The sequence below is a fragment of the Homo sapiens genome, chromosome 6, assembly GCF_000001405.40.
Source record: "Homo sapiens chromosome 6, GRCh38.p14 Primary Assembly".
Lineage (NCBI taxonomy): Eukaryota > Metazoa > Chordata > Mammalia > Primates > Hominidae > Homo > Homo sapiens.
The window spans coordinates 96970775-96989585 of NC_000006.12; the positions used below are offsets into that span (position 1 = coordinate 96970775).

Sequence of the window (18811 nt, forward strand, 5' to 3'; positions counted from 1 at the left end):
ACTATGACCATTGCTATTAGTTGATCAAGTTCATTTTAAAGTGTTTATAAATTATAAAGTGTTCTATAGAAATGAAATTATTTTATTATAGGGTCTTTTAATATCCTGCTACCTTAAATATAATTTTTAAAATATTAATGTCTTTAATTTTCATGAAAAGATTTTGACTACATAATTTAAGTGATTTAAGATGCTCACTTGATAGTTCACCAATAGACTGAATTGAGATAATTATGCATAATTATTACTGTTAGATTTTTTTTTGTCCAGCCTTTTTCTTTCTTGTGTAAAGTAGCCTAGTTAAGAAATGAGAATCTTTATCCCACTTAGTTGTTTTTAATATGTAAGTATGTAACACCTTATTGGTAGTCTTACTTAAAAACTACTGCATATTTTTTATATATCCAGGTTGTAGGTAAACACTGACATAGAAATTGACTTGAATTTTAAAATTTGAAATGCAGATGTTTAAAACCATATAGCTGTTTTCGGAATTTACAACTTTAAAACTGACAGAACTTAGTCAAAATTCTTTCCATGAACATCAAACCCTATAGGATTTCTGTGACCAAAAATGTGAACTCTGTGACCTCAGAGCAGCAATTTGCACTAAAGCAGTGATTCAGTCTGAGTAGGGAATATGATATAATGAACATCGTTCTCTGCATTTGATTTATTAGTTTTTGTGATCAATTCCAGAATGAAAGTTAAAGGCTTAAAGTTATGAATAATCCTCTTTCCTGAGACCTCGTTTATTTATTTCCCCATTACTAGATACTGACATATGGCTGATCAAATGGTTGCTCCCTGGCATTACTAAAAGGTCATCTTACTGTTCAGGGAGTCTGGGGCTTTCCATTGTTGCATGAGGGCCTATGTGGGGTCCTGTGAAATACAGGGACAGCAGTTCGCACAGGCAGCCTGACGGGGGTTGCCTAAAGCCGTTACAGTGTTCAGGTGGAAAAAAACAGAGGGACATATATCCCTGGGAACTCATAGAGTATCCAATAGAACCATAATGAGAAGCATATCTATAATTTAAAATTTCAGGTAGCTATATTAAAAAGGGTAAAAAAAAATTTTTTTTCTGTTGTTGAGACAGAGTTTCACTCTTGTTGCCCAGGCTGGAGTGCAGTGGCGTGATCTCGGCTCACTGCAACCTCTGCTTCCCGGGTTCAAGTAATTCTCCTGCCTTAGCCTCCTGAGTAGCTGGGATACAGGCATGCGCCACCACACCTGGCTAATTTTTGTATTTTTAGTAGAGACGGGGTTTCACCATGTTGGCCAGGCTGGTCTTGAACTCCTGACCTCAGATGATCCGCCCACTTTGGCCTCCCAAAGTGCTGGTATTACAGGTGTGAGTCATGATGCCCAGCCCTAAAAAAGGTAAAATTAATTTTAACAATATATTTTATTTAACCCAACATACCCTAAATATTATAATTTAAACATGTAATCAGTACAGAAATATTGAGCTATTTTGCTTTCTTTTATTCATATTGTCTTTGACATTCATTGTGCATTTTATATGTATGGTACATCTCAATTTGGACTGGCCATATTTCAAGTGCTCAGTGACCATGTGTGGTTAGTGTCTACTGTATAGGTGTATCCCTACAATAGAGTATTACTATTGTATTGATACAACACAATACAATAGAGTGTTACTATGGTATTAATATAGCATATACTCTTTTGTATTGATGCAGTTCTAGGGCATCCCTCAGAGAAAGAGGTTGCATTGGGGAAGCCAGGACACTGTCTGCACTCACTGATGAATTTTGAGGTGGCAACATGGCTTCTGTGGGAGACCTTTTCCAGTTTTAGGATGACACTCAAATCTGTGTTTCCTTGAGAAATATGGTTCTTGCTTTCAGTCTTTTTTCCAGAAATTTAGAAGTTTTAGGATATACTTTTCCTTCCTTTATTTCTCAAAAAATTGAGGGACATTGCTCTAAGTTGAGAGGCTTAGTTTGCTAATTTGATATATGTTCTAGATGCTGAGGGAGCTGTTTGCAAGCATGTGTCTGCTCCCCATTTTAATTTAGACATAGTGCATTACAGTCTTCGATTTATCTCCTCCCTGGTTTATGACTATTGACTTGGTGAAGTGGGCGTGCTCCCTTCCAGCTATGTTCTGTGGCCACGTGTGCCTTAACATTTAGAGGGTTGAGATGTTTTACAAATTTACATCCAAGAGTTGAGTGGGAAGTTACTTTCAGAATACAATAATGATTTGTTGATTAAGAGGCCTTTATTTCTTGCCAAATGTTGGAGTATTTGTTTCTGCTTTTAAGGATCCCTAACATATTGGTTCCAAAATATTTGGGATCTTGTGCCAACTGTTGTCTTAAATATTTAGCTTGTTGTTTTCTTGAAGCTTGAATTTTCAAGCCCAGCTGAATGATCCTGTGAAATTGTGCAGCATCACTATTGTTTAAAAGCTGAGGCTTTTATTCTTTGCCAAATTTCAGTTTACAGCTGCTCTGTTTCTGGTAAGATTTATTCACTCTCAAGAGACATATAAAATGCAAATACCGATTCAGTCTTAATAATAAGGACAGGAATTGTGGCACTATATTTGGAAAACTTTTTAAGGCAATTATCTTAATATATTCTTCGGTTCCACTACAAATGAAATTTTGAAATACATTTATTTAACATTTAAGGTGATATAAAAGTGGAGAAAGTAAGTTGTGAAAGTTTCAAATATATTTTCTAAGGTTATAATGATTAGAATCTATTTTCCATCCCAAAACTTTCAGTCACAGTATGAAGATAAATGTTTTTGAAGAAAAATTTCAAACATTTCTTACTGCTGTGTCATGTTGTTCTGTTCATGTATATTATTCTAAAAGGCTGATTTTGAGATTCATTATACATAATATAAAGTTAATAGGGACTTACATGGTTTTTTCCCCTTAAGCATAGATTTTTGAGATCTTTACAGATTGCCTTTTTTTTTTTAGACAGAGTCTCGCTCTGTTGCCCAGGCTGGAGTGCAGTGGCATGATCTCAGCTTACTGCAACCTCCACCTACTGGGTTCAAGCAATTCTCCTGCCTCAGCCTCCTGAGTCGCTGGGATTAAGGTGCGCGCCACCATGCCTGGCTAATTTTTGTATTTTTAGTACAGATGGGGTTTCACCATATTGGCCAGGCTGGTCTTGAACTCCTGACCTCAAGTGATCCACCTGCCTCAGCCTGCCAAAGTACTGGGATTACAGGCATGAGCCACCGTACCTGACTTCTTCTCTTTTTTTTTCCTTTAAGCAGGAGGAGGAATTACATTGTTATATTCTTGGTGATAGGTTCTCAAAATACCGGATCTTGGACCTTCAGTTTTTCTATCTGTAAAATAGAGATAATAATAGTACCTGCCTCATGGTGTTGTTGTGCAGATTACATGAACTAGTCATTGTAAATCACTGAGAATAGTTCATGGGACACGGTAAGCACTATGTGTTTCTCAAATATATTAAAAAGTCATCCTTTTAGGAAAGATTTTTCAAAGACTATCCTAAAGCTTTACTTGGCTGATACAATGTTTCTATTACTATTCCATTTCTTGATTTGAGATGCTAATTAATTGAGTGATGCTAATTAATCTCCATTCTAGACTTTGCATAGAAACTTGCAAAAAATTATTTATGCTTCTGAATGTGGTTTTTAATTACTGATTTTAAAGTCTGCCTATAGCTTGAGCTACTAGATGAATATTCAGTGACAGTAACCATTTCAAAACTCACTGCTACATTTCAACTGAAAATAATCCTCCCACCTTCCCACAGGAACTTCCTATATCATCACCGTCTGTCAAGTTTTTTCTTTCCATATTTCTGACATTCTGATGCTTCCCAGTCAAAACTGTCCAATAAAGCTTAATGACTGCCTTCTGGCATTTCACAGGAAGTATTTGGTTAATTTTAAGATGGTGATTTGTACCTAACTGTAATTTACCAGCCAACTGGCACCACAGGCTGAGCAGAGCCCTGCCAAATAAACCCACCATGCAAACTAGGCTGGTGGCAACTCTGGCTCCCCTGAGAAACTCTTTCACATTCAGAGGGAGGGGTTGGATACAGGAATTACCAACATGGGAGAGACACAGCTTAATCATCCCAACGGTATTTTTACTCAGCTTTGAGATGGATCTGCTGGCCAGAATCAGGGCTTGATGGCTCTTGCTTTCACTCTGGGAGTAACCTATTCCTGGCAGATCACCTGTCTTAGTCCAATACCAGTTCTGAGATTTTAGAGCACTGTATAGATTCCCGTTGATATAAGCTGGAAATGTCCATAGCTGTCTGTAAAGTGAAAGTTTGCATTTTGTGTTTATGGCATTACTTCTGTATTATTGTAGAATGATCTAGAGCTTCACCTAGGACTTTTGAAAGGACATAAGGATAAATGTTTTAGGTTGGGGTAGAGAGTGAAGGGGTAAGTTTCACAATGTGTGAGGTTAGCAATCTCACAAAGTAGAACAAAAAGAAAATTATATAGTCATTCATAAATCCAGTATAATGATCACACATAGAAACTAAATGCTGATAATAGATAAATTTTACTTTCAGCTTTAAATTTGTTTTCATTTACAATGCATTCCTTTTGATGTTCTTATGGTGCACAATTTCCGAAGTTTAATAATAAGCTTCTCTGGTTTAATTGCCTTTTACATGGAATGGTCATTTGCAGCCCTTTTTGTCCTAACATTTGCTCAGTTTTCTTGTATGTGTTAACAGAGTCTTGTGTCCTGTGGGAGACATGGTAAGGTACAAAGGTGGGGAAGGAATCAGGGAATTAGAGAGAGGGGACAGAGTGGGAAGGGTCACACACACATATACACATGCCCAGATGCACATCCAGAGGAAGTTTTGCACTCAGAGATGTTCACACACTGAAGGGACGGGACCCAGAAACAGAGGCTTGCAGGTCCAGACACCTGGGTCAGTATGCAGCCACAGATGAACACACACAAACACAAATGCAGAAAGAGATGCACCAGTAAAAGAGAGAAAGACCCTGCAGGGAGGGAAGCAGAGAGAATAAGAAAAAGGGAGAACAAGAGAATGGTGGAGAGAAAGAAAATGAGGGAACAGATGGTCACACTCATAGAGTGCACTGGAACCCGTGTTGCCTCAGTCGATGTTCAAGGAATGAGAGAGCAGCTGGCCCACAGGGCTGGGAAAAGGAAAAATGTTGACTTGATTGCTCTCCTTTGTAGTATTCAAGAAATGCTGACAGGCCAGAGGCTCTGCCACTCCGAATCTCACAATGACAGTGTCCTGGCAGCGCTGAATCAGCAGAGGAGTGATGGCATCCTCTGCGACATCACCCTGATTGCTGAGGAACAGAAATTCCATGCTCACAAGGCAGTCCTAGCAGCATGCAGTGACTATTTCCGGGTAAGTCAGCATTGTTTGTTTCTCGTAAAATATTGATAAAGAGAGGATGACAATGTTTCCCAAACTGTCACTAAACCAGGAGCCAATTAGGTGGTACCCCCAGAGCTGAATGGTGGGGGCCTTTGTTCTTTCCTGGGTAGAATGCTTCCTGGGGCCCCATTGGGTCCTCTCTGGGCAGGGCACCTGGATGTCCCTCCAATGTAGAACAGACCTCCCTTGGCATCTGAGCCAAGGAGTGCTTGGCACTTTACCACCATGGGAAAATGTGGCACTGTAGTGCTTCATGTGGGGGTGCAGACTGGAGTGAGAGGATGCTTCTGGATTCAGGATCAAAGACCAAGCTATAAGACAATTTGTTAAAATTTAAAAGTCTTTAAGTATATGTATTGTTTCGGATATATATATATATTTTTGTTTTGTTTTGTTTTGTTTGTTTTTGAGACAAAGTCTCGCTCTTTCACCCAGGCTGGAGTGCCAATGGCGCAATCTTGGCTCACTGCAACCTCTGCTTCCTGGGTTCAAGTGATTCTCCTGCCTTAGCCTCCTGAGTAGCTGGGATTACAGGGACATGCCACCACACCTGGCTAATTTTTGTAGTTTTAGTAGAGACGGGGTCTCACCAAGTTGGCCAGGTTGGTCTCGAACTCCTGACCTCAAGTAATCTGCCCGCCTCGGCCTCCCAAAGTGCTGGGATTACAGACACACACCACCGCGGCCAGCCTATATATACTCTTAATGCTTTCTAATTATTTGCTCCAAGGACAGAGATTCATAGGCCTAATGGACCTTCATGGTCAGTACATGCATGCGGCTAATGAAGACACATCTTGTTTACCAGAGCTTTGGGGTTGATTTCCAACAGCAAATTACATGTGGTAATAAGATTGCTGTTTTTCTTGAAGATGAAAGTACATAATATAGTGATAGCTGATTAAATGCCACTTATTAGCACTTCTTGTGATTCACATGGTGAGCAAAGGATTTTATATGCATATCTCATTTGATCCTCACAACAACCCATTGTGCACATATATATACATATTATTAAAATGACCATTTTGCATATATGGAAACAATAACAAAGACTAAGTAATTTGCACTAACTCAGGATCAGTAAGAAGTCACACAGTTCCTAAATGGCAGATCTGGAATCGAAATCTATGTTTGACTCTTAACGAGTGTGATAGTCTGCTTCATATATGGACATAAAATAGCAAACCTGGACAATTATTAGCCAGAATGTTTTGAAACATTAATTTCTAAATATACATTATTTCAATGCCTATTTAATTTTCTTTTCAATGTTTTTTCAGTTAACAAGTGACTAATACTTTTGGAACATAATGGTATGAATCTCCATATAAATGGGAATATAAACAATTTAATTGTGTTGTGTTGTTTTTTTAATTTCCCCCAGTAAAGCCTAAATGTTACAGACACCAACTTAGGCCCATGAGCAATTTGTTGATTGGTTTGAATATTTCTAATAATACTGTTGGTTTTGTTATTTAAGAGACAATATCAACTGCACTTAATTGCCAAGTAGCAGTCACAGAGATTTTTCAAAGATGCCAAAGCATAGAAGACAGCCTTTTTTAAAAAGCGTATTAAATGTGATGAAACTGAGTAATGTAGAAGATAAAGAGGTAATTACTTGAAATGTCTGTTTCTGAAATAAAAAGTAGGGATTTAATTCTAAACTACAAAGATGATACAGAGTATCTGTAAAGTGGCCTTTTAGTTCCATTAATATAATTATACATTTCACACACCCTCACTCACATTGTCAGGTATTCTTCTTTCAGAAAGGTCATATTATTCAGAGGGGCTTTTGGATCAGCAAAACACTTCAGATTGTATGCAGATTATGGAATAGGAATTTTGTCTTTTAATGGACCGTAATATAGCCTTCTTGGTGTTAACTTCTCTCTACTTAGGTTTCAGCATTTCAGTATTGGATTTTTTTTTGAACTTTTATTTTAGGTTCAAGGGTACATCTGCAGGTTTGTTATGTCAGTAAATTATGTTTCATGAGGGTTTGGTGTACAGATTATTTCATCACCCAGGTAATAAGCATAATACTCAATAGCTAGTTTTTCAATTTTCTCCCTTCCCCCAACCTCCACCATTAAGTAGGCCCCAGTGTCTGTTGTTCCCTTCTTTGCATCCAAGTATTCTCCGTGTTTAGCTCTCACTTATAAGTGAGAATATGTGGTGTTTGGTTTTCTGTTCCCATGTTAGTTAGCTTAGAATAATGGCCTCCAGCTCCATCCATGTTGCTGCAAAGGACATGATCTCATTCTTTTTTATGACTGTGTAGTATTCCACAATATATACATACCACATTTTCTTTATCCTGTCTACCACTGATGGTCATTTAAGTTGATTCCATGTCTTTGCTATTGTGAATAGCGCTACAGTGAACATACACATGCAGGTGTCTTTATGGTAGAATGATTTGTAATACTTTAGGTCTATACCCAGTAATGGGATTGCTGGGTTAAATGGTAATACTGTTTTAAGTTCTTTGAGAAATTGCCAAACGGCTTTCCACAATGACTGAACTAATTTGCATTGCCACCAGCAGTGTATCAGCATTCTCTTTTCTCTGCAACCTCTCCATCATCTGCTATTTTTTTACTTTTTAATCATAGTCATTCTGACTGGTGTGAGATAGTATCTCATTGTGGTTTTGAGTTGCATTTCTCTAATGATTAGTAATGTTGAGCACTTTTTTTATATGCTTGTTGGCTGCATGTATGTCTTTTTTTGAAATGTGTCTGTTCATGTCTTTTGCCCCCTTTTTTTATGGTGTTGTTTATTTTTTGCTTGCTAATTTGTTTAACTTCTTTATAGATTCTGGATAGTAGATCTTTGTCAGATGCATAGTTTGCAAAATATTTTCCCCATTTTGTGGGGTGTGTTTGTTGATAGTTTCTGTTGCTGTCCATAAGCTCTTTAGTTTAATTAGGTCCCATTTGTCAATTTTTGGTTTTGTTGGAATTGCTTTTGGTGTCTTTGTCATGACATATTTGTCAGGACCTATGTCCAGAATGGTATTTCCTAGATTATCTTCCAGGGTTTTTATCATTTTAGGTTTTACATTTAAGTCTTTAATCCCTCTTGAGTTGATTTTTGTACCTGGTGAAAGAAAAGGGTCTAGTTTCAATGTTTGACATATGGCTAGCCAGTTATTTCAGCATCACTTATTGAATTTGGTCTTTTCCCATTGCTTGTTTTCATTGACTTTGTCAAAGATCAGATGGTTGTAGGTGTGCAGCTTTATTTCTGGGCTCTCTATTCTGTTCCATTTGTCTATGTGCCTGTTTTTATACTGGTATCATGCTGTTTTGGTTATTGTAGCCTTGTAGTATAGTTTGAACTTGGGTAATGTGACTTCAAACTATACTACAAACAATACTACAGCTTTGTTCTTTTTGCTTAGGATTGCTTTGGCTATTTGGGCTCTTTTATGGTTCCATATGAATTTTAGAATAGGTTTTTTCTAATTCTGTGAAAAACATCATTGGTAGTTTGATAGGAATAACATTGAATGTGTACATTGCTTTAGGCAGTATGGCCATTTTCACGACATTGATTCTTCCTATCCATGAGCATGAAATATTTTTCCACTTGTTGGTATCATCGCTAATTTCAATGAGAAGTGTTTTGTAATTCTCTTTGTAGAGCTCTTTTACCTCTCCGGTTGGCTGTCTTCCTAGGTATTTTATTCTTTTTGTGACTATTGTGAATGAAATTGCAATCTTGATTTGGCTCTCAGCTTGGATGTTGTTGGTGTATAGAAATGCTACTGATATTCGTACAATTGATTTTGTATCCTGAAACTTTGCTGAAGTTGTTTATCAGATTTAGGAGATATGGGGCAGAGACTATGTGGAGAGTTCTAAGTATGGAATCACATCATCTGCAAACAGGGATAGTTTGATTCCTCTCCTCCTATTTGGATGCCTTTTATTTCTCTCTGTTTCCTGATCACTCTGGCTAGGACTTCCAGTACTATGTTGAATAGGAGTGCTGAGGGTAGCCATTCTTGTCATGTTCTAGTTCTCAAAGGGAATGCTCCAGCTTTTACCTATTCAGTATGATGTTGGTGTGGGTTTGTCATAGATGGCTCTTGTTAGTTTGAGGCATAGTCATATAATGCCTAGTTTTTTGAGGGCTTTTAACATGAAGGGAAGTTGATTTTTATCAAAAGCCTTTTCTAAATCTATTGAGATGATCATGTGGTTTTTGTTTTTGGTTTTCTTTATGTGATGAATCACATTTATTTATTTGCATATAGTGAACCAACCTTATATTTCAAGTATAAAGCCTACTTGATTGTGGTGGATTAGCTTTTTGATGTGCTTCTGGATTTGATTTGCTAGTATTTTGTTGTGGATTTTTACATTTATGTTCATCAAGGATACTGGCCTGAATTTTCTTTTTTTGTTGTGTCTCTGCCAGGTTTTGGTATCAGGATGATACTTGTCCCATAGAAAGACATAGAGAAGAGTTTTTCTTCCTTAGTTTGTAAAAGTAGTTTTAGTAGGAATTGTACCAGCTCTTTTTTATATATCTGGTAGAAGTCAGCTGTGAATCCATTTGGTCCTGGGCATGTTCAGGTTAATAGGTATATTAGTCCGTTCTCATGCTGCTAATAAAGACATACCTGAGACTGGGTAATTTATAAAGGAAAGAGATTTAATTGACTCACAGTTCTACAGGGCTGGGGAGACCTCAATAAACTTACAATCATGGCAGAAGGGGAAGCAAACATGTCATTCTTCACATGGTGGCAGCAAGAAGTGCAGAGCAAAGTGGTGGGGCGGGGGGGCAGGCGGGGGAAAAGCCCCTCATAAAACCCTTAGATCTCATGAGAACTCACTCACTATCACAGGAACAGCATGGAGGTAACTGCCCCCATAATTCAATTACCTCCCACCAGGTCCCTCCCAGGACACATGGTGATTATGAAAGCTACAGTTCAAAATGAGATTTGGGTGGGGATAAAGCCAAACCATATCAGTAGGCTTCTTCTTACTGATTCAATTTTGGAACTTCTTATTGGTCTGTACAGGGATTCAAATTTTTTCCTGGTTCAATTTGGGAGGTTGTATGTTTCCATGAATTTATCCATTTCTACTAAATTATATCTTGTGCACATAGAGGTTTGTAGTCTTTGAGGTTTTTTTTGTATTTCTGTGAAGTTGGAAGTAATATTCCCTTTTTCATTTCTGATTGCATTTATTTGGATTTTCTGTCTTTCTTTTATTAGTCTAGTTTGCTGTCTATTTATCTTATTTATTCTTTTGAAGAACAAACTCCTAGTTCCATTGATCTTTTATATGATTTTTAGAATCTCAATTTCCTTCAGTTCAGCATTGATTTTGGTTATTTCTGGTCTTTTGTTAGCTTTGTGATTGGTTTGCTCTTGTTTCTCTAGTTTTTCTAGGTGTGATGTTAGATTGTTAACGTGACATCTTTCTAACTTTTTGATATGGGCATTTAGTACTGTAAACTCCTCTCTTAACACTGCTTTAGCTTTGTCTCAGAGATGCTCATGTGTTGTATCTTTGTTCTCATTATTTTTAAATAATTTTTTGACTTCTACCTTAATTTCATTGTTTACCCGAAAATCATTCAGGAGCAAGTTGTTTATTTCCATGTGTTTGTGTAGTTTTGAGTGATTTTCCTAGTATTGATTTCTATTTTTATTACACTTTGGTCTGAGAGTGTGATCGGTATAATGTCAGTTTTTTTTAATTTGCTGAGGATTGTTTTATGGCTAATTGAGTCATCAATTTCAGAGTATGTGCCATGTGCATATGATAAAAATATATATTCTGTTGTTTTTGGATGAGGAGTTCTGTAGATATCTGTTAGGCCCATTCAGTCAAGTGTTGAGTTCAGGTCCTGAATATCTTGGTTAGTTCTCTGCCTCAATGATCTATCTAATAGTATCAGTGAGGTGTTGAAGTCTCCCAGTATTATTATGTGGTTATTTAAGTCTCTTTATAGGTCCCCAAGAATTCTGTTTATTAATCTGAGTGCTCCTGTGTTGCGTGAATATATGTTTAGTATAGTTATGTCTTTTTGTTGAATTGACCCTTTACCATTAGGTAATGCCCTTCTTTGTCTTCTTTTATTGGTGTTGCCTTAAAGTCTGTTTTGTCTGAAATTAGAAGAGCAACCCTGCTTTTTTCCATTTTCTGTTTGCTTGGTAGATTTTTCTTTATCCCTTTACATTGAGCCTTTGGGGGTCATTGCATGTGAGATGGGTCTCTTGAAGACAGCACATCATTGGGTCTTTCCTTTATCAAACTTGCCACTCTCTGCCTTTTAATTGGGGCATTTAGTTCATTTGCATTGGAGGTTAATATTGACATGTGTGGTTCTCCTTGAAGAGGTCCTTCACATCCCTTGTAAGTTGGATTCCTAGGTATTTTATTCTCTTTGAAGCAATTGTGAATGGGAGTTCACTCATGATTTGGTTCTCTGTTTGTCTGTTACTGGTGCATAAGAATGCTTGTGATTTTTGCACATTGATTTTGTATCCTGAGATGCTGCTGAAGTTGCTTATCAGCTTAAGGAGATTTTGGGCTGAGACGATGGGGTTTTCTAGATATACAATCATGTCATCTGCAAACAGGGACAATTTGACTTCCTCTTTTTCTAATTGACTACCCTTTATTTCCTTCTCCTGCCTGATTGCCCTGGCCACAACTTCCAACACTATGTTCAATAGGAGTGGTGAGAGAGGGCATCCCTGTCTTGTGCCAGTTTTCAAGGGAATGCTTCCAGTTTTTGCCCATTCAGTATGATATTGGCCGTGGGTTTGTGATAGATAGCTCTTATTGTTTTGAGATACGTCCCATCAATACCTAATTTGTTGAGAGTTTTTAGCATGAAGCGTTGTTGAATTTTCTCAAAGGTCTTTTCTGCATCTATTGAGATAATCATGTGGTTTTTGTCATTGGTTCTGTTTATATGCTGGATTATGTTTATTGATTTGCATATGTTGAACTAGCCTTGCATCCCAGGGATGAAGCCCACTTGATCATGGTGGATAAGCTTCTTGATGTGCTGCTGGATTTGGATTGCCAGTATTTTATTGAGGATTTTTGAATTGATGTTCATCAAGGATATTGGTCTAAAATTCTCTTTTTTTGTTGTGTCTCTGCCAGGCTTTGGTATCAGGATGATGCTGGCCTCATAAAACGAGTTAGGGAGGATTCCCTCTTTTTCTATTGATTGGAATAGTTTTAGAAGGAATGGTACCAGCTCCTCCATATACCTCTGGTAGAATTCAGCTGTGAATTCATCTGGTGCTGGACTTTATTTGGTTGGTAAGCTATTAATTGTTGCCTCAATTTCAGAGCCTGTTAATTGGTCTATTCAGAGATTCAACTTCTTCCTGATTTAGTCTTGGGAGGGTGTATGTGTCGGGGAATTTATCCATTTCTTCTAGATTTTCTAGTTTATTTGCATAGAGGTGTTTATAGTGTTCTCTGATGGTAGTTTGTATTTCTGTGGGATCGGTGGTGATATCCCTTTATCATTTTCTGTTGCGTCTATTTCATTCTTCTTCTTTTCTTCTTTATTAGTCTTGCTAGCGGTCTATCAATTTTGTTGATCTTTTCAAGAAACCACCTCCTGGATTCATTGATTTTTTGAAGGGTTCTTTGTGTCTCTATTTCCTTCAGTTCTGCTCTGATCTTACTTATTTCTTGCCTTCTGCTAGCTTTTGAATGTGTTTGCTCTTGCTTCTCTAGTTCTTTTAATGGTGATGTTAGGGTGTCAATTTTAGATCTCTCCTGCTTTCTCTTGTGGGCATTTAGTGGTATAAATTTCCCTCTACACACTGCTTTGAATGCGTCCCAGAGATCCTGATATGTTGTGTCTTTGTTCTCATTGGTTTCAAAGCACATCTTTATTTCTGCCTTCATTTCGTTATATGCCCAGTAGTCATTCAGGAGCAGGTTGTTCAGTTTCCATGTAGTTGAGCAGTTTCGAGTCAGTTTCTTAATCCTGAGTTCTAGTTTGATTGCACTGTGGTCTCAGAGACAGTTTGTTATAATTTCTGTTCTTTTACATTTGCTGAGGAGTGCTTTACTTCCAACTAAGTGGTCAATTTTGGAATAAGTGCAGTGTGGCACTGAGAAGAATGTATATTCTGTTGATTTGGGGTGGAGAGTTCTGTAGATGTCTATTAGGTCCGCTTGGTGCAGAGCTGAGTTCAATTCCTGGATATCCTTGTTAACTGTCTCATTGATCTGTCTAATGTTGATAGTGGGATGTTAGAGTCTCCCATTATTATTGTGTGGGAGTCTAAGTCTCTTTATAGGTCTCTAAGGACTTGCTTTATGAATCTGGGTGCTCCTGTATTGGGTGCATATATATTTAGGATAGTTAGCTCTTCTTGTTGCATTGATCCCTTTACCATTAAGTAATGGCCTTGTCTCTTTTGATCTTTGTTGGTTTAAAGTCTGTTTTATCAGAGACTAGGATTGCAACCCCTGCCTTTTTTTGTTTTCTATTTGCTTGGTGGATCTTCCTCCATCCTTTTATTTTGAGCCTATGTGTGTCTCTGCACGTGAGATGGGTTTCCTGAATACAGTACAGTGATGGGTCTTGACTCTTTATCCAATTTGCCAGTCTGTGTCTTTTAATTGGAGCATTTAGCCCATTTACATTTAAGGTTAATATTGTTATGTGTGAATTTGATCCTGTCATTATGATCTTAGCTGGTTATTTTGCTCGTTAGTTGATGCAGTTTCTTCCTAGCCTTGATGGTCTTTACAATTTGGCATGTTTTTGCAGTGGCTGGTACCAATTGTTCCTTTCCATTTTAGTGCTTCCTTCAGGAGCTCTTGTAGGGCAGGCCTGGTGGTGACAAAATCTCTCAGTATTTGCTTGTCTGTAACAGATTTTATTTCTCCTTCACTTATGAAGCTTAGTTTGGCTGGATATGAAATTCTGGGTTGAAAATTCTTTTCTTTAAGAATGTTGAATATTGGCCCCCACTCTCTTCTGGCTTGTAGAGTTTCTGCCAAGAGATCAGCTGTTAGTCTGATGGGCTTCCCTTTGTGGGTAACCTGGTCTTTCTCTCTGGCTGCCCTTATCATTTTTTCCTTCATTTCAGCTTTGGTGAATCTGACAATTATGTGTCTTGGAGTTGCTCTTCTCGAGGAGTATCTTTGTGGCATTCTCTGTATTTCCTGAATGTGAATGTTGGCCTGCCTTGCTAGGTTGGGGAAGTTCTCCTAGATCATATCCTGCAGAGTGTTTTCCAACTTGGTTCCATTCTCTTCGTCACTTTCAAGTATACCAATCAGACGTAGATTTGGTCTTTTCATATAGTCCCATATTTCTTGGAGGCTTTGTTCATTTCTTTTTATTCTTTTTTCTCTAAACTTCTCTTCTTGCTTCATTTCATTCATTTCATCTTCCATCACTGATACCCTTTCTTCCAGTTGATCGAATCAGCTACTGAGGCTTGTGCATTTGTCACGTAGTTCTCGTGCCTTGGTTTTCAGTTCCATCAGGTCCTTTAAGGACTTCTCTAGAATTGGTTATTCTAGTTAGCCATTCATCTAATTTTTTTTCAAGGTTTTTAACTTCTTTGCCATGGGTACGAACTTCCTCCTTTAGCTCAGAGTAGTTTGATTGTCTGAAGCCTTCTTGTCTCAACTCGTCAAAGTCATTCTCCGTCCAGCTTTGTTCCATTGCTGGTGAGGAGCTGTGTCCTTTGGAGGAGGAGAGGTGCTCTGATTTTTAGAGTTTCCAGCTTCTCTGCTCTGTTTTTTCCCTATCTTTGTGGATTTATCTACCTTTGGTCTTTGATGATGGTGACGTACAGATGGGGTTTTGGTGTGGATGTCTTTTCTGTTTGTTAGTTTTCCTTCTAACAGTCAGGACCCTCAGCTGCAGGTCTTTTGGAGTTTGTTGGAGGTCCACTCCAGACCCTGTTTGCCTGGGTATCACCAGTGGAGGCTGCAGAACAGCAGATATTGGTGAACAGCAGATGTTGCTGCCGGATCGTTCCTCTGGAATTTTTGTCTCAGAGGAGTATCCGGCCGTGTGAGGTGTCAGTCTGCCCCTAATGGGGGGGGCCTCCCAGTTAGGCTACTCAGGGGTCAGGGACCCACTTGAGGAGGCAGTCTGTCCGTTCTTAGATGTCCAACTGCATGCTGGGAGAACCACTACTCTCGTCAAGGCTGTCAGACAGGGACATTTAAGTCTGCAAAGGATTCTGCTGCCTTTTGTTTGGCTGTGCCCTGCCCCCAGAGGTGGAGTCTACAGAGGCAGGCAGGCCTCCTTGAGCTGTGGTGGGCTCCACCCAATTCGAGCTTCCTGGCTGCTTTGTTTACCTACTCAAGCCTTGGCAATGGCGGGCGCCCCTCCCCCAGCCTGGCTGCTGCCTTGCAGTTGGATCTCCCACTGCTGTGCTAGCAATGAGCGAGGCTTCGTGGGTGTAGGACCCTCCAAGCAATGCACGGGATATAATCTCCTGGTGTGCCATTTGCTAAGACCGTTGGAAAAGCACAGTATTAGGGTGGGAGTGACCCGATTTTCCAGGTGCCATCTGTCACCCCTTTCTTTGACTAGGAATGGGAATTCCCTGACCCCTTGCACTTCCTGGGTGAGACGATGCCTCGCCCTGCTTCAGCTCATGCTTGGTGCACTGCATCCACTGTCCTGCACCCACTTCCTGACACTCCCCAGTGAGATGAACCCAGTACCTCAGTTGGAAATGCAGAAATCACCTGTCTTCTGCATCGCTCACGCTGGGAGCTGTAGACTGGAGCTGTTCCTATGCGGCCATCTTGGCTCCACCCCCCAGTAGTTTGTATTTCTATGGGATCAGTGGTGATATCCCCTTTATCATTTTTTATTGCATCTATTTCATTCTTCTCTCTTTTCTTCTTTATTAGTCTTGCTAGCGGTCTATCAATTTTGTTGATCTTTTCAAAAAACCAGCTCCTGGATTCATTGATTTTTTGAAGGGTTTTTTGAGTCTCTATTTCCTTCAGTTCTGCTCTGATCTTACTTATTTCTTGCCTTCTGCTAGCTTTTGAATGTGTTTGCTCTTGCTTCTCTAGTTCTTTTAATTGTGATGTTAGGGTGTCAATTTTAGATCTCTCCTGCTTTCTCTTGTGGGCATTTAGTGGTATAAATTTCCCTCTACACACTGCTTTGAATGTGTCCCAGAGATTCTGGTATGTTGTGTCTTTGTTCTCGTTGGCAAACCACTGCTCAATGAAATAAAAGAGGATACAAACAAATGGAAGAACATTCCATGCTTATGGGTAGGAAGAATCAATATCATGAAAATGGCCATACTGCCTGAAGTAATTTATAGATTCAATGCCATCCCCATCAAGCTACCAATGACTTTCTTCACAGAATTGGAAAAAACTACTTTAAAGTTCATATGGAACCAAAACAGAGCCTGCATTGCCAAAACAATCCTAAGCCAAAAGAACAAAGCTGGAGGCATCACGCTACCTGACTTCAAACTATACTGCAAGGCTACAGTAACCAAAACAGCAAGGTACTGGTACCAAAACAGAGATATAGACCAATGGAACAGAACAGAGCCCTCAGAAATAATGCGGCATATCTACAACCATCTGATCTTTGACAAACCTGACAAAAACAAGAAATGGGGAAAGGATTCCCTATTTAATAAATGGTGCTGGGAAAACTGGCTAGCCATATGTAGAAAGCTGAAACTGGATCCCTTCCTTACACCTTATACAAAAATTAATTCAAGATGGATGAAAGACTTACATGTTAGACCTAAAACCATAAAAACCCTAGAAGAAAACTTAGGCAATACCATTCAGGACATAGGCATGGGCAAGGACTTCATGTCTAAAACACCAAAAGCAATGGCAACAAAAGCCAAAATAGACAAATGGGATCTAATTAAACTAAAGAGCTTCTGCACAGCAAAAGAAACTACCATCAGAGTGAACAGGCAACCTACAGAATGGGAGAAAATTTGTGCAATCTACTCATCTGATAAAGGGCTAATATCCAGAATCTACAATGAACTCAAACAAATCTACAAGAAAAAAACAAACAACCCCATCCACAAGTGGGTGAAGGATATGAACAGACACTTCTCAAAAGAAGACATTTATGCAGCCAAAAGACACATGAAAAAATGCTCATCATCACTGGCCATCAGAGAAATGCAAATCAAAACCACAGTGAGATACCATCTCACACCAGTTAGAATGGCAATCATTAAAAAGTCAGGAAACAACAGGTGCTGGAGAGGATGTGGAGAAATGGGAACACTTTTACACTGTTGGTGGGACTGTAAACTAGTTCAACCATTGTGGAAGTCAGTGTGGCGATTCCTCAGGGATCTAGAACTAGAAATACCATTTGACCCAGCCATCCCATTACTGGGTATATACCCAAAGGATTATAAATCATGCTGCTATAAAGATACATGCACACGTATGTTTATTGCAGCACTATTCACAATAGCAAAGACTTGGAACCAACCCAAATGTCCAACAATGATAGACTGGATTAAGAAAATGTGGCACATATACACCATGGAATACTATGCAACCATAAAAAAGGATGAGTTCATGTCCTTTGTAGGGACATGGATGAAGATGGAAACCATCATTCTCAGCAAACTGTTGCAAGGACAAAAAACCAAACACCGCATGTTCTCACTCACAGGTGGGAATTGAACAATGAGAACACATGGAGACAGGAAGGGGAACATCACACACTGGGGCCTGTTGTGGGGTTGGGGGAGGGAGGAGGGATAGCATTAGGAGATATACCTAATGTTAAATGAGAAGTTAATGGGTGCAGCACACCAGCATGGCACATGTATACATATGTAACAAACCTGCACGTTGTGCACATGTACCCTAAAATTTAAAGTATAATAAAAAAAATATTGACATGTGTGGATTTTCCTTTCATTGTGTTGTTAGCTGGTTATTATGCAGACTTGATTGTGTGGTTGCTTTATTGTATCAGTGGCCTATATACATAAGTGTTTTTGTGGTAGCTGGTAATGATGTTTCATTTCCATATTTAGCACTCCCTTAAGTGCCTATGTTAAGCCAGGTCTGTTGGTAATGAATTCCCTTAGCATTTGCTTGTCTGAAAAGGATTTTATTTCTCCTTCACTTATGAAGCTGAGTTTGGCTGGATATGAATTTCTTGGATGGAATTTTTTTCTTTAAGAATGCTGAATATAGGCCCCAATCTCTTCAGGCTTGTAGGGTTTCTTTTGAAAGGCATGCTGTTAGCTTGATGGGTTTCTGTTTGTATATGTGATTTGCCCTTTATCTCTAGCTGCCTTTAATATTTTTTTCTTTCATGTGAGCCTTGGAGAATCTGACAACTGTGCGTCTTGGGGATG

General features: G+C 38.8%; 1 protein-coding gene across 15 annotated transcripts in view; it reads left to right on the top strand.

Moving 5' to 3' along the window:
• KLHL32 (kelch like family member 32) overlaps nucleotides 1-18811 on the top strand; it is a 242671-nt gene that overhangs the window by 72692 nt on the left and 151168 nt on the right. For all 15 annotated transcript variants that reach the window (NR_136580.2, NR_104421.2, NM_001323258.2 and 12 more), the window contains one exon: nucleotides 5223-5403. Coding sequence is in view for 12 of the 15 variants with exons in the window: in NM_001323258.2 (NP_001310187.1) it covers nucleotides 5223-5403 (181 nt within the window). In the remaining 3 variants the exon portion in view is untranslated. The remainder of the gene's footprint in view (nucleotides 1-5222; nucleotides 5404-18811) is intronic.